Source organism: Homo sapiens, chromosome 18 (assembly GCF_000001405.40).
Source record: "Homo sapiens chromosome 18, GRCh38.p14 Primary Assembly".
In the NCBI taxonomy this organism is placed as follows: domain Eukaryota; kingdom Metazoa; phylum Chordata; class Mammalia; order Primates; family Hominidae; genus Homo; species Homo sapiens.
Window position 1 is genome coordinate 75,432,703 of NC_000018.10, and position 15,388 is coordinate 75,448,090.

Consider the following 15,388-nt stretch of genomic DNA (forward strand, 5'->3'; position numbering starts at 1 on the left):
TTTATTGTTTTATTTTTTATTGCTTCTGAAAAATTGTATTGGTATTGCTTTGTGTGAATAGGTCTCCAGGAGTAAATTATGATCAAAATTCAAAGCCATCATAAATTAAATGTGTTTTTTTTCCTGCTTTGGTATACAAGACTTTCCATTAAGCTAGACTCATATAATATACCTTGGATATGTTCAAGAAAGCCCTGTAAATTATGGTAAGTATTTAAAATGGTAAGTAGACATTGGAAAAGGCCACATTAGGATTAATGAATGAAGGGGTTGATACTGAAAATGCACTTGTAAATAAATAACATAAAAAGTAAAGATGACACATTGTTAGGTGAGAGTTACAAGTAGAGTATGACACTAAATTGCAGGGTGGCAACAGCATGTTCATGGAACTTCAGTTTCTTTGTAGGAGCGTTTCTAATTTCTGTCTAGCAAAATCTTCCCAGTTTCATCCAGTCTGAGTTCCATCCTGCGGCTCTTCCTGTGCCTTCCTTTCAGATATGAGAAGTGCCTGAGATTTCCTTCCTTAGCAGTCAATCCCCTTCCTGCCAGCATTTGGAGGACTATTCACCCAACAGTAGGGGACCGATAGAAGGTGGAGCTGGCTTTGTCATAGAGATTGCATTTTCTCTCAGCAGCCCAGGACTAAATGATCTGGGGAAGGAGGAGGACACGGGAATCATGTTACTTGTGACAAAATGGAAGCACTAAGCAAGAAATGCACACACAGGCCGGGGTGCACTTTAAATACATGCGCTCATCTGCCTCCAGGAAGGTGTGGGGCAGTGAACCGCGCTTTGAGGAAAACATAAAAAGAGGACAGTGCATATTTGGACTGTTATTTAAAAATTTGTGTGGCTTTGACAGAATAGAGTGGAGACACTTGGAAAAGTATCTCGGGTATATTTAAAGTTTTGGCACAAAGTTCAGTTAACACTCTCCTTAGGCATATAGACTTGCAGCTATATAAACTCAGCTTTCCTAAATTATCTATACATATATATGAATATGCATATGTTATATGATGAGAGAGATTTCCTTCTGAGATGTTCATTTTTTCTAACACCCAAGTTTGCATAGCCCCAATTATGTGATTTGCAATACCTGTTAGATTTCCCATTTGCTAAAGAAGATGACTTCAGCTTGAACCACTAGAAATATGCTTTTAGAATTTATGCAGAGATGCTTCACTCAGGTAAGTGGTAAGAAGAAATTCAAGAATAAAGGCTGGATTCTATATCATAGAAAGAATAATAATGTGGATGGAAAGTTTACAGTGTCATGTAAAATACTGACAGGAAGCCTGAAGCCCTAAGAAACCATGAGAATTTCTAGATTTAAAAAGATGATTAGAGAGGCTCTGCTTCTGATAATAGTGGAGAAGCTTGCCCCAGAATAACCTTCCCGCAGATAACAATTACAAAGTCTGGACAAGATGTAAAAAACAACTGTTCAAAAGCATTGGAGAATGGTGAAAGGCAGGCAGCAACCGGGGAGGCAACCCTCAAAAGATGGGGATTCACTGGGTACCATTTGCATTTCTTCTCCTTTTTTTTTTGCTTGCCTTAAGGTACTCCCAAAACTTCTTGGGTTCTGCCCCTGCACAGCAGGGGCAGAACCCAAGAAGAACTTTGTACCCTTATCTGCTTGAGAAGTCACCAGGCATAGTCTGAAGCTCATGGCAGCTAGAAAGTGGAGGGGGAATTCCAGAAATCAGGGGTACACAAAGGATAGCAACAAAATCTGTGCATGCGCTTTTTCCTGCCCCTGGGTAACCACTGGACTGCATGTGCATGGGGAAGCCCCCACATTTCCCTGCGAAAAGCAACAGCTGCAAGGCTAAAGACTCAGCAGTGTCCCCTCCTGCCGACTGCAAGGAGGACAGTTTGGAGTTTTGCCGTAAAGTTAAGTGGCTGCTAGAGCAAAAACTAATGTGCATTAGAAGAACATAGCAGAATCCAAAGTCTCTAGACTATGCATCCACAGTGTGTAGTCTAATAAGAAATGATTACCCATGCACAGGAACCAGAAGATTTTACCCACAGCCAAGAGAAATGGACATTGATTTGATCTAGATGTTGGATTTAGCAGTCAAGGACTTTTAAAACAACATTTATAAGTATGTTCAAGGACTTAAGGGAAAATGTGGTTATTATAAGTGGACAGACTAGGAATCTCAGCAGAGAAATAGAAGTTATAAAAATAGAAGGAAATTCTAAAATGGAAAAGTGCAGTGTTGAAATACAAATGATTTCTGGATGGATCAAAGCAGTGATGGAATGAGAAAGTCAGCAATAGATCCTAAAAGCAGTGGGTGAAAGTTAAACGAGGAATAGGTCTCAGGTTATGTCCCTGTAAATTACTTGTTAATTACAAATGGAAAAGTAGAACCTCACAGTTCAGAAACCTGGTGAATTTCATTTTAAATAAGTGATCGAAGCTAACATCACTAATATTGGGACAGTGACATCCTGGGCTTCTCATTTGCTGCAATGAGAAAGATGCATTTCTGCGTAATTCCTGCCATAGTGCAGAACCGGAATCTAGTCACAGGGAAACCTCAGCAACCCCCAGTGAGGAGACATCTACAGAGTAAGTGGCCTGTACTTTTCACAATGTTAAGATGAAGAAAGACAGAGGCTGAGCAACAGTTCCAGATGCAAAGAGACGAAGTAGACATGATAAGCAGATGCATGTGGGATCTGGCCCGTTGCTGGGCTGGAGGGGGCAGTTTTAAGGACACCATTGGGGCAGTTGACACAATTTGCATCTAGGCTGTGGATTAGATAATCGTATTGTTTCTATGTGAAAATGTTCTGCTTTGGATAATTGTAACTGGGCCATATAAGAGAAAGCCCTTGTTCTTATTGAATGCACACTCAGGTATTTAGGGGTAAAGGAACCCAAGGTTGCCAAATTACTTTCATTTCCATTTCTTTCCCTTTCTGTCTCTGTCTCTGTCTCTCTCTCCCTGTCTCTTTCTTTCAACTGATAAAGCAAATGTATAGCAAAATATAAACTGGTGAATCTGGGTAAATAACAATGAATGGGCCCGGGGTGGTTCACGCCTATAATCCCAGCACTTTGGGAGGCCAGCGCAGATGGATCACGAGGTCAGGAGTTCAAGACCAGCCGGCCAATATGGTGAAACCCCGTCTCTACTAAAAATACAAAAATTAGCTGGGTGTGGTGGTATGTGCCTGTAGTCCCAGCTACTCAGGAGGCTGAGGCAGGAGAATCACTTGAACGTGGGAGGTGGAGTTTGCAGTGAGCTGAGATTGTGCCACTGCACTCCAGCCTGGGTGACGGAGAAAGACTCCGTCTAAAATAAATAAATAAAAAAAACATTGAATGTTTCTTGTGTTGCTGCAAATTTTCTATAAAAATGTTTCTTGTGTTGTTGCAAATTTTCTATAAATTTGCATTCATATTAAAATTCAAATGTTATAAATAGGCATAAATCAATAATTGATAGTTTTGAGCTCCTTCATTCCTAAAACCAATGACTTCCAAGTTTGTCTTCTTCTCACCCGCTATTTTGACACAATGAAGTCCTTTCTTGACAATTTATCTGACTTCGGCTTAGGAATCACCTTGTCTTTCAAAATTGTTCTCACATTATTTGAAAAAATATTTTTTATTCTTTTGTCTTGTGGATCCTCTCTTAGTCCCCTCCCATCTACTTAATTTAGGAAATTAACTAGAATTACCTTAAAAAATTGTGAATGAATGAATTTTGAAGTACTTGAAAATCACAGTTTGCTCTGAACCATTCAAAATAAAAATATTTACATACTAAATTTTTAAAAAGTGAGATATAGGTCTCCATACTATGAATGCTAAATTCTTTCTCTTTGCACTTCATCTTCCTCCATTTCTCCCCTTCTATACTCAATTGGCATGTGACTATCTCACTTCTACCAACTGCATCAGGTATTAAGGGGCATTAATTTATTTGAAGCGTGTAAAGTCATTCTGCTAATAAGTAACAAGTACCTCTAGTAGTTGGCACAAAAGGCACCAGTAATGAAAATTAACAGTTTGCATCAAAGCTATTCGCAGACCTTCCTTGACACCGGTGAGCACCTGAGGCTCTGCTGTCCTTTTCTGGATGCTCCTCTGGCCCTGGATCATCGATGCCACAAGATAAAATGTACTCACACAGTGAATATGCATTCTGTGTCTTCTTACACATGCTAGGCTTCAGGGATTCAGCAGACAACGGAAAAATATCTTCATCCTTATGGAATTTCTATTTAATGAGAGAGCGAAACAATAAAAAAATAAAGAATAGGTTAGGTGGTCCACCATGGGGAACAGTTTGGAGATTCTTTGAAAAACTAAAAATAGAGCTACCATATGATCCAGCGATCCCGCTGCTAGGGATCCACCCAAAAGAAAGGAAATCAGTATATTGAAGAGATATCTGCACTCCCATGTTTATTGCAGCACTATTCACAAAAGCCAAGATTTGGAAGTAACCTAAGTGTCCATCAACAGATGAATAAATAAAAAAAAAGGGGTACATATACACAATGGAGTACTATTCAGCCATGACAAAGAATGAGATTCAGTCATTTGCAACAGCTTGGATAGAACTGGATGTCATTATGTTAAGTGAAATCAGCCAGGCACAGAAAGACATGCATCACATGTTCTCACTTATTTGTGGGAGCTAAAAATCAGAACAATTGAATTCAAGGAGATAGAGACTAGAAGGATGGTTACCAGAGGCTGGAAAGGGTAATGGGGGAGGGGAAGGGGAGAGGTGGGGATGGTTAATGGGCACAAAAAAAATTAGAAAGAATGAGTAAGACATGCTATTCAATAGCACAACAGGGTGACTATAGTCAACAATAATGTAATAGTACACTTAAAAATAATTTAAAAACTATAATTGGATTGTCTGTAACACAAAGGATAAATGCATTGCATGCCAGTATCAGAACATCTCATGTGCTCCATAAATATATACACCTAGTATGTACCCACAAAAATTAAACGTTGACTAGGTTAGAGAGTGATAGGTACTCAGGAGAAAAACAAGACAGGAAAGGAGCATAAAAAACACTGGTAAGGAAGTGGGTACATTTGAGAGTGGTCAGGGAGTGTGACCTTGAAGTTAAAGTATGAAGGCGAAGAGAAAGGAGCCACATGGAAGGCCAGGTAAGAAACAGCAAGAGCAGAGGTTCCTGAGTAGGAGGCTGCCTGACTTGGTCAAAACCAGCCAGGAGGTGAGTGTGGGGAGGGGTGGAGATGTGAGTGGAGCAGTGAGACCTTGGGGATCATAGAGGTACTCAATATTTTCTTTGGATGAGATGGGAAGCCAGCGGAGGTTCTGCAGCAGAGGAATGGCATGATCTGACACAGGAGAGTAAACGAGGGAGATTTGTGGGAGGAAGCAGGGAGAATGTCACAAAGCCACTGCCAGGATCTGGACCACAATGTTGGTGGCTTGGACCAGGGTAGGAGAGATGCAAGTGGTGAGAAGTGGTTGGGCTCTGTGTGTATTTTTAAGGAAGGGTAAACAAGATCTGTGGATTGACTCAATGCACATTGGGAGTGAAAGAGAGGAGCCAAGGAGGATAGTAAGGTGCTTGGCCTGAGTAACTGCAAGAATGAAGTTGCCATTTGCTGCGATAGGGAAGGCTGTGAGGGAGGATACCAGGAGCTCAGCTGGGGAAATGTGAAGCTTGAGAGCCTATTAAATATCCCCATGAGATGTCAAGGTCATAGTTTGATTTTTAAGTCTGGAGTTTAGAGTAGGGAATCAGGCTGAAGATACACGTTTGGGAGACATCAGCATATAAACACTATTTAAAGATATGAGACTGTAGGAGATGGTTGAGTGGGCAGGTCTCACTAGAAAGGAGAAGACTCAGAGATTGAGGTCTGAGCATGACCACCATTGGGTGGTCATGCTGCCCACTTACCAGCAGTGTTCATGGGGACATCTAGGCCAAGAAGTGGGGAGAGCCACTGGGAAAAGGGAGCAAACTTGAATCACTGCCTCTGGCTGAGACAGACTCCATCCTAATTGCAGGCACCTGGAGTTGACTTTTCAAGACTGCTCCTATCACAAGGACTGGAGTCAAAAAACACTGGAGTCAAAAATATTAAGCTGATCCCTGGGCACCACTCTTGTATTTCTAGATAGAGGTGCCCCCCGAGCAGGTGAAAGCATTAGAGAGAGATGGGAGGGCATTTGAGTTGTCAACAGGGAAATCCCCTAATCGTCTGCAGTTCCCAAATAGAGCCTCTCTGGGGGTCGCCCAGGCAAACACCAGCTGCCAGAGGTGATCCCCTTAGTCATTGAGCAACCCAGTTCAGGGTCCTGCTAAGGGCTCACCCACATTGAGAATAATTCTAGAGTCTGCCAGTTTTCCCACATTCTTTTCTTGGGAGTCTGGATGTTGGCTCACAATTTTGGCATGTGAATGTCTGCCTGCAGATGTTCATCTGTCTCCCTTAACCTTCACAGTGAAGCAAATATACACAGATGAAAGATGCAATGTGAAGTACTGAACAGGTTAAGTTAAAAATGTTCCCTGACACTCTGGAGGCACAGACACTAACCGTGTTTTTTCATCTAAGCAGATATCTGTGCTGAATTGCTGGGACAAATGCACCGAACATTGCCTTCACCTTCAGCGTCGCCTTCATTCTGCCCCTGTTGAACTAGGCTAGCATTAGTCTCACCAGGGAACTGGGAAAATAAGTAACTGGGCAAGAAGGGAAAGTGAAATTCAGGGTTGAACATCCTTGTTTTATTGATGGCATGCATCCCCAAGTGTCCTATTATCCCCTGAGCAGCCTTGCGTACATGCTAAACAGAAGTGGCTGTCCTGGGGGTAATGGATGGTCCCCTGGGACTTTCTCCAGAAGAAAACTGCCCTTATATGGGCATCAACTGCTCTCAAGAGGGATGGAACTTTATTCATGTTCTTCCATCATAAACCTGGGCTCAAATGAGAACCCAGCTACCCATCCCGGAAAAAAAAATCACTGTTTTTTTTTGCTTTGCATTTTAGGAATCTCTCCTTGAGCAAAGACCTTGATCAATTCAGAGGCTGGTGAGTTTCCTTGGTTCTTGCTGATGAGGCTAACTGCATTCAATTCCAAGGCCAGTTAGCTTGGGTCTGTTCTAAGGATGCTGTCAACATTCTTATCCTGTGCGAACACTTTGAACCTTGTGGGTTGTTGGTCACGAATGGTGACAACCATTCTTTATACCGCTTCATGTCGCAGGGGAAAATGTGTGTGTCTTGGACTCCAAGGGCGGCAGCATCCCCCCCACCCAAAGAAAGCAGCCCATTTGTTTTGATGAATGCTCTTCAGGACTTCCAGGAAAGTGTTCTGCTGGAGGAGTAATGGGAATGGTGGCACTGCGAACATTGACACAGGTCTCATGCCAGGGTGGTTTTTAAGGAGCTTACTCACTCTTTCAGATAGGTTATTGCAGATTTGTCTGTTGTGAAACCTTTCTACATATTCCTTCTATTTATCCTGAAGATTTATCCACCCAAGAGGCACGCCCCTCCACAATTCTGTGCCTTTTTAGTGATTCAAATATCAGCCTTGGTAAGCGATTTAGTTTGAAATCACCATTCCCCAGAACCTTTAGGGGATCTCAAGGTAGGATGAGCCAATGAGTGATAGAACTGATTAGGTAAAAACTGGACTGCCATGGCTCATTACACGCAAGGAAATGATTCGATATAGGGTGGGAGGCTGGCAGGGTGGGGTCCTGCTGAATCCTAGAAGGCTCCTATCGCTTTCAGCAATCAACTTTTCTCATTTGTTTGTGTCTAATCTCAGGATGTGTTCTGGTCTCTGGCTTCTTCATAACCATTGGTCTAAATTCCTTAAAATACAATCTTTTCTCTTCCTTTGGTGTTCAAAAGTGTGAAGCAGATAACTCTAAAGGAATTCAAGTCGCCACCATAAATCTTGAGTGATTTTAGAAAGATATATAATACTCCTAAATGATGACATATTTCCAGAAGATCAGTAAAACGTTTCTGAGTGATAAATGGTTGGACAGTTGTGTCTCTGCAGCGAACCTAAGGGGCAACATCAAGCAAACACAGTATTTTATGAGTAATATTGGTCATATCTTTTGTTTTTAATCTGCCAAAAATGCAACTAAAGAGGCTGGCCACACAGAAAATTGGTCTACTTTATACCACGTCTGGCTGGGAAAAGCTCTGGGATTTTTGATTTGCCATCAGAACAAAAGGTTGGTGTGGGACCAGGGTGGGAGGTGTGGTGAGGGAGGGATGGAGGGTTGCAGCGGGGAGTTCAGTGTCTGGAGAGTAGATGACAGCCTTGGTTCCAGCATTTAAAAGCAATTACAGAGCTGTGTGTGTGTGTGTGTGTGTGTGTGTGTGTGTGTGTGTGTGTGTGTAGATTTATTCACAAAGTCTGTGCTGTACATTAACTAAATTTGTAGTTTTAATCACTGATAGGAAAAACAAAACGTACACACACAGAGCCATGAAATACCCAAAGCGGCAGGTCATTTTCTGTCAATCCCCAGAGACCTTCGTCTGTGAGTGCTGGTGTGGGGAGGAGGCGGCAGGAGACTGCTGCAGCTGTTAACAAAAGTCAGCAACGATGGAAACACCATTCTGATAGGTGAGCTGGGAAATGCAATTATAGCTAGTTAGAATTATGCATTTATTTGGCTTCCTGGGCAAAGTATCGCAATGCTAGGATAGGAGGATGGAACTGAGAAGGAAGGAAGGTTTTCTCCCTCCACTGGGATCAAATGGGACGCGCGTGGCTCACTCTCAGCCGGAGGGGAGGCTGCACCAGTGCATAGCGCATCTGGCAGAGCTACTGTGAGGCATGTGATGCTACTTTCAGCCTTATGTGGACCTTTGGTAACAGCATTCTGAAAACGAGGAGCATTGTAGCTGACTTACACGCTGTTGAAAGGTCCTGAGGAGTTGCAGAAGCCTCCAGAATTAAGAATTGTGTCTGTAAAACCACATTTGTGTGGAATGTTCCTACATTTCCTTGCAGTGAGTTATCTGCTTTTGCAATTTGGTCACCAGCTCTCCCACTGCCACGATGGCCTCTGCACAAACAAGCCTCACCCTATGAAAAAGTGATCAAAAATAAACCCACAGGGAAGTTGTTGGAAGTAGAACCATATTATACCAAAAATGGAAAAATGATTTTCCTTGAAAACCACATAGGAAAAGCTTCATAAATCATAAAGGACTAGCAATACACCTCCTGGATTTAAATATCAGTGCAATTACATTTTGTTATATGCAACTTTGCTACTCAGTTATTATTTTACACACTCCAACAGAATAATTTCCCGTGGAGAAAACTGAGTCATTGAAATGTTCTGCTTTCCCAGAGTGCCAAGGAACACATCCGTGCATGTTTTCAGACATATTCCACAGGAGCCAGTTGGGGGAGCTTCATGTTGGACCCAGCAGCAGGGCAAGCAATGTGTGGCATGTGTCTTGGTGCACGCAGTGGGTGGGGATGGGCCCAGGAGGCCGGCAAGGACGAGTTCTTGAGGATACACATTTAAAATGTCTCAGGAGTCCTAATTTAATATTGTTCAGTAACAAATGACCTATTAAGATCTTCCCTGTGAATTTGGAATAACCAACCACCAGGATTTTTCCGCCACTTCACTCCCATGACTGGTCTCCCACATTTTCCAGTGCCAACTTCAAGTCATCATCTGGCCACTTCAAGACCCAGAGACCAGCAGAGTTCTGGTCATGCGGGTTCTGTTTTGAACTAGCTCCTACTTTCCCAAAGTTAATTTACTTTAATGAGATATTAATAATAATCGAACAGGCACTGTCCCTTTCATGGGAATCAAGGTAACTGGTTTCAAGGTGGAGCTTTTTCTCCAGTGTCCAGTTTCAAGGAATCTACGTCCAGCATGGCGAAGTTTGCTGGATTTATTAAGGAGAATTGTCCTATGCCTGCTTGGGCTGGCTGAGCTGTTATATTGTCTGTTTGAGGTCAAGGGCTGATTTGCCATCTAATGTGAATTATGCATTTGCTCTCGATTTCAAAGGTGTAGGAAGAAGGAAGGTCATCCTACATTCCATATCCTACCATTCAGTGAACTGCAGGAATAGCTCTTACTGTGGAAATCAATAATTGTAGAATTAAACGTGGTTCCCAGGAAAACTAAACCCCACATGCATCAAAGGTTCCGAGAAGTTTTCCTGCAATTTAGTCCAACAGCATACAGGTTTTCTGAATCTCCATTCAGCTGTTTTGAAATGCTGGCTTTAAAGGTCCCCTGAGTCCTATATCGCACCCGTGATTATAAAAATATTTAAAGCCACCGAAAGAATATATAGCTGTTCAGACACATGTGCTGATTTATTGTATACCATGGTTTGATACAAACTGGAAGGCAAGCTTTCAGGCTGACAAGAGCATCAGAGTAGCAGGATTCAATCCATATATTACGGTACCAGCCCCAGAACAGGAGCAGCCTAGAGCAAGCCTGTAATATAGGGTTTCTGAAACCTCCTCCATATAACCAGGAGACAACATAAAAAGTTACACGACTATTTATGTGACATGGAGTCGTATTAGTAGTGACGTGCCCACATAAATAGCACTGTGAATTTTTGGAATATGGAAATTAAAGAAAAATATTTCAAACCTAAGCTGTGTATTATGAAAAATAACAAATCTTCCCAAATGCCATAAAAAAATAGAGGTGGAAGGAAAGACAAAGGGCTAGAAGTCTATGAGTATTCTTTCTTGATAAAAATTTAATTTTCTAAAAAATCTCATAATTGTACAAATAGTAAATAAACATTTATGAAAGGAAGATATCTGGGTTTCTTTTTGTTTTTTATGAATGTCACCCACAATTTTTGTGGTCTTATTGAAATGTTAAACTACAAAGTCTGCATGCTTATTTCTTAAAGCATTTCCCCACTGCTTTCCTGTGTGGAATCTCGGTCTGTAAAGCCCTCCATGTTCCTGTAGTGTCTGTTTCTTCAGCTCACCTCATGCCCCTCTGCCTTTGCTCCCAGTTCTTTGGGAGGCTAAAGTGGGCAGATTGCTAGAGCCCAGGAGTTTGAGACCAGCCTGGGCAACATAATGAAACCTTGTCTTTACAAAATATATAAAAGTTAGCCAGGCATGGTGGCAGGCACTTGTAGTCCCAGACACTCTGGAGGCTGAGGTGGGAGGATCGCTTGAGCCCAGGGAGGTCGAGGCTGCATGTCTAGCCTGGGATTTTTTCTGCTGAAACTTGTCAAGCCTGTTGCAGCTGTGGTCTTTGTGCTTCCTGTCTCTGTCTGGATGTTCTGACCTCAGATTTCCTCATGTCTTTCTTCTTTTGTCCTCCAAGCAGCCTCCCCACCCTAGTGCAGTACCCCAGCCCTTTCCTATTTCACCTCTGGACTTTCCTCATATTAAGAGGTAACCAGCAGCTTCCTTCTCCCACATGAACCCGATATAATGCCAGTTGCCTTTTGCAAATGAGTTTCCTCTCAATAGGAAGATGCTGAAGTACACAAGGACAGAGAGAAGGAATGGAGAATTCCTATGGTATTTGAATTACTGTAACAATAACCCAAAGAACAGTGCCAGATACATAGAAAATATATGGTCCATTCATGGATTATGAGTTAATAAATGAATGACATTATACAGTAAATGAATAAACACGTCTACTGCTAGGGAATACAAGGCTGTATTATGACGAGTCCCTAGAAGCTTATTCTAATAATAAGTTTAATAAAAATCAATCATAAATAGCTACAATCAAATATGTAGAGGAGAAAATAATTATTTCATAAACAATATAACTGTATATACGAATGTTCCTGTCATTGTATGTGAAACCTTCAGAAAGCTTGAATTTGTTGACAGTGATCAGAAATTGATGTTAAATATATTTATGGGAAGTGTTCAAGTGTAGCAGTTTAATTACTGACACATTATACAGAGTTGGATATTTTCATCAGTAGTATGGTACCTGCTTGGGCAGGAGTGAGAGCAGTATGAAATGAATCCATTGTTAACTACTTATGAATTGGTACACTTAAATATTTCAATGTCTGGCTACTTTATATAAAGCCTGAGAAGTGATTTTAAAAGATTACAAATAAGTTTCTGGCTGGGTGTGGTGGCTCACAACTGTAATCCCAGCACTTTGGGAGACCAAGGTGAGTGGATCTCTTGAGCCCAGGAGTTTGAGAAAAGCCTGGGCAACATGGTGAAAGCCCATCTACAAAAATTATCCAGGTGTGGTGGCACATGCTTGTAATCCCAGCCACTCTGGAGGCTGACGTGGGAGGATCACTTGAGCCCAGGCAGGTCGAGGCTGCAGTGAGCCATGACTGCACTGTAGCTTGCATGACAGAGTAAGACCCTGTCTAAACAAACAAAACAAAACACACAAACAAACAAAAAAAACAAAAAGAAAAAGAAAAACAAGTTTCTATTTCAAAAACCCGTCAGCAGATTGTTTTTGGAGATGAGGTTATAAATTGTCCAAGTATATTTAAACCAGTTTATGCCAGTTATCCTTTTTACTATAATTAGGTTATATAATAAAATACCATATGAATCAAATAAATTTATTGTTTTTATGAAAAGTAAGTTGAATTCTTTGAAAAGACTTAATAAAGTTAAGTTGATAAATTGCTGATGACTTAATTATGAACAAGAAAGCAGTAACGTTTGGGGCAAAAGCCTGAAAAATCTAGGATTCTGCACTTAAATTGCTTCCCAATTCCTTTCCTCCTCTTTCTGCTTTAAAAGAATATATAGAAGAAAACACAGTCGATGAACTAGGGATGTGGTTTATGCAAAAAAAAAAAAAAAAAAAGGAAATCATTGACAGATCCAGCCTCAAAAAGGAAGCGTTCGTCTTCATTGGTTAAAGAGTATGAGTATATATTCATAAGTTTTGATTAAACTTCTAAGCTTTAAAGATGTTTAGGTTACGTAGTATTGTAATAGTTTTCCTCTTTACCCAACTTTCTCTAATGCCCTCATTGTATCTGATAACAAGATTTTGACTGTGTTTTGATAGAGGAACAGACTTGATTAAAAAAAAAAATTGAGCATGTCTTTTGAGTAAAAGTATTCTGTTAACTAGAGCAAAAAAAAAGCCAGATTATTTATGTTTTATGCCATTTAGTTATTAAGGCTAATCATTTAAGTTGGCTTGCTTTGACAAGGCCTCCAATGGCAAAGAATAAAATATAATGAATTGGAACAAGTTTTTCGGGTTATTTTGGAAAAAAAAACACTCAAATTGAGGTATAATTTCCTAATTAGCATGACTGGATACTAAGTGCTGAGGACAATATCTTCAAAATTGTGAGGAAAGAAAATTTGAACTTAAAATATCATACAAGTAAAAGCAGTAATTAAGAATGAGAGTAAAAAACACTTTCCAATTATAAAAGACTCAAAAAGTTTACTTTGTCTTTAAAAATTACTCCAATAATATTCCCCCAAAAATTGAAAGTGGAGGGGAGAGAGGACAGGTGGAAGCTAGGTGAATACATTGAATTCCTCATCTTTCATTACAGGAGTAACTTGATAAACTCTAAAATGGACAAATCAGCATTTTATACCCTCTTGTATTATTAGGTACTGCAACCACACCTATGCATTATTGCTATAATGAAATTTAATATGATAAGGAACACGTTTTAAAGTACAGCAATATCTTAAAGTTATATGGTGATCTATGGTTTAGAAAGAAATTATACCTACATTATAAAATTTATTTCCAGCTTTTTCTAACCCATCATTCCAAAAGCTGAATAAAGCAGAAAAGAGAATAAGATTGCTCACAAAAGAACTGAAAACTGTAGAATCTGATTTTAAGATGTTTCCTTTTGTAAATGTTAATATTGGAAAGTGTATCTAATAAGATGTTTTTAACAGTTCTTCAAATTTATCTTTCAGCTTACTAACAATTTTAAAGCCAACTTTAAGAAAAAATTCACAAAATTATGAAAGTTTAGGCACCAAATGTGAATCTTTATTTAGAAAGAATAGAAATCACAAAAATTACAACTTTATAAGATTTGTGAGACTTGAGGATTATAATTTTGAGTCTCATTTTAAGGCAAAGGAAATACATTTATGGATACAAAATTAAGTAAAAGACCTAGAAAGGGACTCATGAAAATGAAAATGATGGCCTCAAAACTTACGCTTCACGAACTTCATGGTTCATGGACCTTGCTCTCATATCCAGGTCATAATTATGGGTGCTGGGCCTGCATCAACAGAGGCAAGTAATGTATCCCTAAAAGCCATTGGACATTGAGAGAGTTAGTAGTAACTTACACTTGGAAGTGACTGTGAACTACATAAATATATTCCATTAATCCTAAACTAAATGGACCCTCAATTCAAATTCCCTGTGGTCAGATTTCCAAAATGCCTATGACCACTCAATCACCTGATAAGCTTGCCATCTGATATGAGGAGAATGTGTCAGAGTTCAATATACTTAATGTTTATTCACCATTCCCCAACCCAATAATTCATGTGTTGAAATCCTAACAGCCAAGGTGGTGTTTTAGGAGGTGGAGCCTTTGGGACGTGCTTAGATCATGAAGGTGGGGCCCTCATGAATGGGATTAGTGCCTATGTTAGGATTCTCCAGAGAAACAGAGCCAATAGGATATATATAGGATCTATATCTATGTAGAAAGATGAGAGCAGGTTTATTAGGGCAATTGTCTCATGTGATTATGGAGCTTGAGAAGTCCCATGATAGGCTGTCTACACACTCGAGAGTCAGGGAAGCCTATGGTCTGGCTCAGTCCAAGTACTGAAGCCTGAAAACTGGGGGAGCAGACGGTGTAACTCTCAGTCTGCAACTAAAGTCCTGAGAACCTGGGGGCTGCTGGTGTAATTTCCAGAGTCCAAAGACCAGAAAACCTGGAGTTCTGATGTTTAAGGGTGGAAGAAGAAGGGTATCTTAGCTCCAAAAGAGATAGACAGAATTTGCCTTCGTAGACATACCTGGAAATAATGCTTTACCAGTGATCCAGGTATTCTTTAATCTAGTCAAGTTGACACCTAAAATTAACCTTACAGGTACCCTTATAAAAGATATCCCAGAGAGATATTTCCACCCTTTCACCATTTGAGGTAAGAAGATAGCTACCTGTGAGGAAGCAAGCCCTCAGTAGACACCAAATCTGCTAGAGCCTTGATCTTGGACTTTGCAGCCTCCAGAACTGAGAAATAAATGTGTGTGTGTGTGTGTGTGTGTGTGTGTGTGTGTGTATTTAATGGCATTTTTGTTATAGGAACTAAGATGGACTAAGACAGAGATAAAATAAAAATCGAAAGAAAAAACAGTCTTAACTGACTGTACTTGGAACAAATCTGTTTTTGGTTA

At 40.4% G+C, this 15,388-nt stretch overlaps 1 long non-coding RNA gene across 1 annotated transcript in view; it reads right to left on the reverse strand.

Annotated features, from left to right (window-relative positions):
- The window catches only part of LOC124900405 (uncharacterized), a 22,951-nt gene continuing 7,563 nt past the window's right edge, over window positions 1-15,388 (reverse strand). The window contains exons 2-3 of the long non-coding RNA XR_007066472.1: window positions 4,162-4,252; window positions 1-654 (exon numbers count right to left, since the gene is read on the reverse strand). This is a non-coding gene — a long non-coding RNA (uncharacterized LOC124900405). The remainder of the gene's footprint in view (window positions 655-4,161; window positions 4,253-15,388) is intronic.